Source organism: Homo sapiens, chromosome 8, assembly GCF_000001405.40.
Source record: "Homo sapiens chromosome 8, GRCh38.p14 Primary Assembly".
In the NCBI taxonomy this organism is placed as follows: domain Eukaryota; kingdom Metazoa; phylum Chordata; class Mammalia; order Primates; family Hominidae; genus Homo; species Homo sapiens.
This window is the reverse complement of record NC_000008.11, coordinates 52,937,197-52,944,316: the sequence shown is the minus strand read 5'-3', so window position 1 is coordinate 52,944,316 and position 7,120 is coordinate 52,937,197. Positions and strand designations below refer to the sequence as shown.

The 7,120-nt window shown below is 49.3% G+C and overlaps 1 protein-coding gene across 1 annotated transcript, besides 2 other annotated features; it reads right to left on the bottom strand.

The window, feature by feature from the left end:
- Window positions 1–582: 582 nt before the first annotated feature.
- NPBWR1 (neuropeptides B and W receptor 1) lies at window positions 583–5,135 on the bottom strand. The gene is made up of 2 exons (NM_005285.5): window positions 4,951–5,135; window positions 583–4,606 (listed from the first exon to the last, which is right to left on the bottom strand). The coding sequence occupies exon 2, from the start codon at window positions 4,407–4,409 to the stop codon at window positions 3,423–3,425; it is 987 nt and encodes a 328-aa protein (NP_005276.2). The 5' UTR covers window positions 4,410–4,606; window positions 4,951–5,135; the 3' UTR covers window positions 583–3,422.
- Window positions 3,697–4,328: an enhancer, noted in NCBI's record as "H3K27ac-H3K4me1 hESC enhancer chr8:53852549-53853180 (GRCh37/hg19 assembly coordinates)". NCBI's record gives its function as "activates a minimal SCP1, AML or CMV promoter by ChIP-STARR-seq in naive H9 embryonic stem cells {active_cell/tissue: H9 hESC(naive)}" and the evidence as "EXISTENCE:reporter gene assay evidence [ECO:0000049][PMID:30033119]".
- Window positions 4,329–4,960: an enhancer, noted in NCBI's record as "H3K4me1 hESC enhancer chr8:53851917-53852548 (GRCh37/hg19 assembly coordinates)". NCBI's record gives its function as "activates a minimal SCP1, AML or CMV promoter by ChIP-STARR-seq in naive H9 embryonic stem cells {active_cell/tissue: H9 hESC(naive)}" and the evidence as "EXISTENCE:reporter gene assay evidence [ECO:0000049][PMID:30033119]".
- Window positions 5,136–7,120: the final 1,985 nt, after the last annotated feature.

Here is a 7,120-nt window from a genome sequence, read left to right as displayed (position 1 = left end):
TGCTAATAAAAGACCATTATGGGCAGAATTCTCTGATCTCTTTCTTAATGTGCATAAGCATAGATGATTAATATCCAAGGAGAGTTTACTGTTTTTTTGTCTTGCTGTTGTTTTCCCAGCATGTTGCTGAGGAAAGAAGGGTTTATAATAAGTTCGTGAGTTTTTCAGGTGAGATTCTCCACCTTGCATATTTGTGCTATGTCTATGCATATTGCTGATAGCAATGTGTATACTAATAATTGAAGCAATTTCTCTTCCCTTCTCCCCCTCCACATAGCTGCTCAAATATTTAAGAAATGAGGCTTTTGATGGTATGATAGAAGTTTAGCATCCTTTCTCTGCCCAGCATAAGTTCTGGAATCTCTGTGTTTATCAGCAGCTTTGCATCATTTTCACAATCAACCAAATTAAGGGGTGGGGGTGTTCATTCTTAATTTTGTCCTGTCAAATACTTCTATTTATTCATTGAGTATTCATTGGATCACTTTTCCAATGAAGGCAGTATTTTTAAATAGTAACACTGCACAAATGCTAAGGTGACTTAATTGTGGATAACTTGTTCTCAGAAAATAGAATGTTCACTTATCACACAGAATGTTTCAGCTTTTATTTTAAACTGAGCTCCTCTACAATGGACTACAGAGTTTCTGCGTTTGTCAAGAGAAAACATAAGCATACACATTACATAACTGCACTAAATTAAGTAAAAGCAAATAGACATTTTTAACTATTCAAAGTGGTAAAACCAAACCATAGAGTTTACACAGAAACTGCAAGAATTCAACACAGTGTTAAAACCTTTGCAATACAATGATGTGAATAAATTCTACTTTTGCCTGGCTTATGTGTGTATTTATTCAACCGATTACCCAAGACATAAAAAGGAAGCCTGAGATATACAGTCTACATGCTCGTATGAAGGGCAACGACCTAGAAATAATGATACAACAGTTTATCCAGTGATCAGAAAGCCCAGGAGGAACTCAACTGCTGAGACCTGATTAATCCCACAGGCATACTCAGAAGCCAGTCCATGCCTTGCTGGGGATGAACAGCAATGTCAGCCCGTGTATTTTTCCAGCAGTCATCTCCATAGATTCCAAGAAGGCTCGAGGTCAATCTACTGTAGGGATGAAACAGTGGACAGATGGATCACTCAGCTGTCCCCCATCTGAGTCCAGTTACTGAGCTTATTAAGACAGATGAGATACTGAATCCAGACAATCACTCCAGCTGTGTTTGTAGCCAAATGTTCACCTTACTCTTTGTCCATCACCTTAGGTAATCTAGAAGTTACTCTAAGTTTAAAACTTTAATTTTGAAAAGTTACAGAGGATTCATGAGATAATTTTGAGAGTTTAAGGAAAATCAATAGAATGTTTCCTAGAAATTCGAAAGATATTAAAATGAATTCCAAGAAGCCTCCGAAGCCGGCCAGCAGAGAGAGGCCTGTTCAAATGCCATGAGGTCCACCACTCGAAACTCATTGTAGATGAAAACTTTCTTTTAAACAATTTACTATTATTTGCCACCCAAGACAGAAGGTTTTTTAATGTATATTTTCTAAACTGATGGCTATGAATTATTTCAATGTTCCTAAAAACTCTGAGAGCTAAGAAAGCAATTCTTATTCACCAAAATTAGAGAGGGGGTTTGCTTCCCCCCATTCCAAGGGGGAGTTTTTTCCTTCCAAATATTTATTAAAAGCTATTTTCAACCTAAATAATTGAGAAATTGATTGAAGATGCCAAACTAAGCAAACAAAATGTGCTGCAACACTCACATTTTTTTTTCTCACACATGACATAGGAAACAAACATTTGTAGAAATTTTCATCCTGTTTGGACTTCATCCTAAAGATTAATACCTTTTAAAACACCATAATCAATTACCAGACTTTGCTTAGGGTTCGGCCCTCATGTCTAAGGCTAAACTGCAGAGGATTGGGCAAACCCAATGCCAGTCCTCTCTCTTAATCCACTTTGTCTTCCATATGCAGAGACAAAAACACAGGTAGGATGCTGGCCAATCTCCCTGGTGACTCCAGGACCAGTATTTACCCGGTTTACCGGGACTACCTACCGGATGCCGTCTACAAGTAAGGAATAAAGCCCAGGTAATCCACAGCTCCCTGTGAAAAGTACAGCAGAGAAAACCTGAAGCCGTCGGTCATCCCTGCTTCCTGCTCTCCCTAAGGCGGAGCCAAGGAAGCAGAGGAGAAAGGGAACACAAGAGAATAGATCGCATTTCTTTTTATCTTATTTGATCTTCATGGCAACTCGTGAGATTAGGACATGTACATTATTTATAAAGTTTTCAGTCCTGAAAAACAGTACACACATGAACAGTTACAACAAACTGATCTAAGTAAGACAAGAGACGAGGCCAATTGGGGGAATGGGGGTGGGGCTTGGCATCCTCTATAAGCAACGATGACCAGTGTGCCACAGCGCTGTGAAGCGCGCTCAGCCGGAGTGCTCCACCACAAAGCCCCGCGATCCTCCGACGCTAAGCACTCGGCCGCTGGCTCCTCCAGGGGGCGCCGGAACCGCGCGCCCGGGCTACTCCGGGTTCCTTGCTCCGGGAGTCTGACATTTTCAGGGGAGATCACGGATAGGAAAGGGAAAAGGCAAAGAAAAGGAGTAGGGGCAGACAGAAAGAAGGATCACTATTCGTATCATATTCTAGGCAGTCACTGCCAAGCGCCAGCCTCTTTCCCCGCATTTCATGCCTCCGCAAACGCGCGCACACCACACACACACACACACAGGTGTATACACACTCCGATGGGGCATCCCGAGTTGTTGTGTTTTCCCCAGTTGAAGAGGCGCTGGCGGCCTCGGCAGCGGTCCCCGCCCGCGGCGCCAGGCCAAGCGGGTCTCACAGGGGTGGGCGCCAAACGCGCGCGCCTGACCGTCTTCCCAGAGCGCGCGGAGGACAAGGGGACCCGCCGGGGCTGTGCGCCAGCTACAGCAGGGGCCGCGCGGAGCCGACGCCTGGGGGCGCCGGCAGCGTCCTCGGGCCTCCCTTCGAAGGCGCGGAGAGTTCCGACTCCAGCCAGGTTCCAGACTGCCAGGGCTCGGGTGGGGCAGCAGGGAGCAGGGCAGGGAGGGGGCGGTTCCCAGCAATACCGCCCTCCTCCTCTACCCTCCTCTTCCTCCACCTCGGCTTTAGGGAGCCCTCAGTGTGGCGATCTCAGCCTCAGTTCTCCTCACCCGGCATGGCCGCGCATCACCTGGAGGGCTTGGCAAGGTCAACCTGCGGGCACAGTCGCAGCGCTTCCGATCTGCTAGGTCGGGTATGGGGCGCGAGTCGGTTTCCCCAGGAGGCCTAGGCGGCCTGTCTGGTCCCGCACTCTGGCGCCGGCTCCTCCCTCGCTGGCCAGGAGTGGCGGGCAGTTGCGGAGCCGGACGCTGGGGGAGTCAGGCTGCCGCGCGGCAAGTTATCAGCTGGCGGAGGTTCCTGCGGAAGCTGGCGTCCAGGAAGGCGTAGAGGAAGGGGTTGAGGCAGCTGTTGGCGTAGCTCAGGCTGGTGATGAAGTAGGAGATAGCGATGACCAGCGGCGTCTGCGGGAGGTCGGTGGTGAGCGCCACCACGGTGCTCAGGTGGTAGGGCGTCCAGCAGAGGAGGCACACCGCCAGGATTGCCACCACCAGGAAGGTCACCCGCTTCTTGGCGCGCTCCAGGGCCTTGGCGTGGCTGTCCAGCCGCATGGCATGCAGCCGGCACAGCAGGGTGGTATAGAGGACACAGATGGTGGACACGGGGATGGCGAAGCCCAGCACGAGCGTGTAGAGGCGGCTCGCGCGCCACCAGAAGGCCTCGGGCTGCGGAAAGACTAGCACGCACTGGCGCCGGCCCTGCTCGTCGTCTAGCCGGGCGAAGACTGCGAAGGGCAGCACGACGAGTGTGACGATCCCCCACACGGCCAGGCTCACCGCGCGCGCGGCGCTGTAGGTGCGGCCGGCCACCCGGCGCGACTCCGCAGTGGCCAACACCACCAGGTAGCGGTCGGCGCTCATGACGGTGAGGAAGTAGAGGCTGGAGAAGGTGTTGTACTGGTCGATAGCCACGATGAGCTTGCACATGAGCTCCCCGAAGGGCCACTGCCGCAGCAGGAAGTCGGCGATGTTGATGGGCAGCACCAGCGTGAAGAGCTCGTCGGCGATGGCCAGGTTGAGGATGAACAGGTTGGTGACGGTCTTCATGCGGGGCGCCCGCAGCAACACGTACAGCACGGCGGAGTTGCCCGCCAGACCCACGGCGCAGATCACCGCGTAGACAACTGGTACAGCCACCGCCAGCGGCGCCGGCAGCGGCGCCAGAGTCGACGCGTTGGAGCAGCTCAGCGCCGGGTCCGGGCCCGATGCGTTGGCGGGCCAGGGCTCCGAGAACGAGGCGTTGTCCATCTCAACGAGGGCAGAGGAGCCGGCGACCTGGCGTCCCCCAAGGACGCCCTACGGAGCTCAGCGGTCCTGAAGCCCGGTTCTGCACGGACCTGCTCGCGGACGCTCGTTTCAGCTCTCCAAGCCGTTCTCTGGTTTTTCCGGAGGAGGGGACCGTTCCCAGCCACCCCACGGCCCAATGTCGCCGCGGACTCACGGGGCTGGAAAGAGGAATTTAAAGCATAGGTTAGTTCGTCGACGTGTAACTTTAGAAATAGGCGCGGTCCCGAGGAGGGGTGGGGGTGGCGCCGCGGCGCCCCAAACCTCCTCCACGTGAGCGCTCTCTGCTACCTGTTGAAATCTCACTTCTACCAGTTGAATACATCAAACGAAATGCTAGAGAGAGAAGAATCCTCCATAGGAAAAATGCAAACCCTTCTCCCCTCTTTCAGGAAACTTCCGTAGACCCAGGTTACCCCACAGAATCCCGCAGTGGCAAGCTTCGGTCTCCCCAGGGTCTGTGCGCCCTCAGTAACAGCAAGCTCAACAGCAGTCTTTACCTTACCTGGCTGGCTGGGGAAGGGGTCTGCCTTTCCTGGAGCTGTCAGGAGAAAAGCCCGCCGGCTGCGGGGAGGCTGAGACGCCTGCCGGCTGGGTGTCCGCCTCCCCCTGTCTGCCTCCCCCGAGTTCGCCAGAGTCCGCAGCTCGCGTCCCCGCCGGTCCCTCCCGCGCGCCTGGAAGTGCAGGGATGGCGCAGCCGCGACTGCGTTCCACTGCCCTGACCGCCGCGCCCACCCCCACACCCCAAGTAAAATGGTCTTAGAACAGAGAACAGAAATTCCCCCAAATTTAAGGGATTCCTTTCTTCCATCCCAGTCGTGCAACCTCACTCCATCTGAAATAATAGAAAGCTCTCCTGTTAAGAATCGAATTTAAGGAAAACAAAGTTAGGGTGTAAGTGATCTATTTTTAAAGGAGAACAATGTAGTGGAGGCGCCTGTTCCATTTTTTATACACCGTAACACAAATAGGCTAATGTAATGTGAAATCTGAAAGGAGGAAAAAGTGAGTGCAATTTTATAATGCAAATCACCTGTTTTCTGCTACTCTGGTCTTCAAGGGGATAGAAGATTGTTAGTATGTTTTCTAAAACTACTTCTACTTCTACTTTTGTGTAAGTAAAGACTTGATTAGTAAAGACAAACGGCTTCCGCAAAGCCTTTTAGGGAACCATGACAATGCGTATTTCATAAAACGTTACAAGTTGTTCAACACACTCTCTACTTATCCACACACTTGCCCGATTCTCCTGCTAATGAGAGCTATCCTGCGATCGCAGCGGAGAGTAGCCAAGGAAGGACTAGCAGGGGCAGTCTTGAACTCCCCTGTCGCTATTTCCCTGGACTTTGGATTCTTTCTCTAGGAAGGGAAAATCATCTTAGGCTCCTCACCAGTTCCCCTAAGAATCGAATGAAATAAACTAAATATTGGTTATTTCCAATTTCTGCTTTTTTTTTTTCTCCACATTTCCTTTAGGAGAGAGAGCAAATTAAAACACGAGATTATATCCTCTAGTAAACTACCCTTCCACAAAAGCAGGCGAAGCCCAAATAAAGTGTATTTTTGGTCCTCTAGGATGCATCTTAGAGAAGGGGGCCTGAGATCCAGAGAGACCTAAAGTCGGCAGTAGAAGACTGTGGGGCCAGAAATACAGTAGCCCCCCCATACCTATGGGGGATAGGTTCCAAGAGCCCCAGTGGATGCCTGAAACCATGGATAGTACCCATTGCGGTCAATGGGAACATGTTTCTGTTCTTCCATCCAAAAATGATGCAACAGCAAAACTAGCATGCATTTCTTTTTTCTTCTTCACATTTTCGTGGATAGATTTGTTTTTAGTAGATCTTGGCAACCTCTGCATATGATTTTTTTTCTTTCCTTATTAAGTCCAGAATTTTTACCTTTTAACTTAAAGGAGGCATTTGCAGCTTCTCTTTGGCATATCTGAATTGCCAGCATCACTTCTCTTGCACTTTGGAGCCAGAGAGAAATAAGGGCAAAAAGTCAGTAAAATCAAGGCAACTTGAAGACACCACACTGGTCATTGCCACAGTCATCTAATAACCCAGATTGTGAAGTGACTAACAGGTGGATATTGTAGACAGCAGGGAAACGCTGGGCAAAGGGAGGACTCACTTTCTGTGGGAAGGAGTAAGATGGCTGGATCTCATCACGCCAATCAGAAGTCAACACAATTGAAAACCTAGGAACTGTTTATTCCTGGAATTTTCTGTTTAATATTTTTAGACCACAGTTGACCACGAGTAACTGAAACTAGGGACTCCAAAACCACTGACAGGGGGATCCACTGTCCAAAAGCTCCCTGGAATTTACCTACTCAATTATCTTTTTACCAGGATCTATACAAATCGGCTCCCCTGCAGTTTCACACTTTCTGTGAAACAAAATAACAGATGATTCTTAAGCTATGTCCGTAAGAAACACTATATGATAAAACACCATATAATGTTAAAGAAAAAATATATATAATAGAAAATCTCCAAACGGTTGAAGATGATCAACTATATACACATACGTGTATACATACACATATATACACACACGTGTATATACACACACATATATACACACGCATATATACACGCACATATACACACGTGTATATACAGACACATATGCACGTGTATATACACACACATACACAGTGTATATAC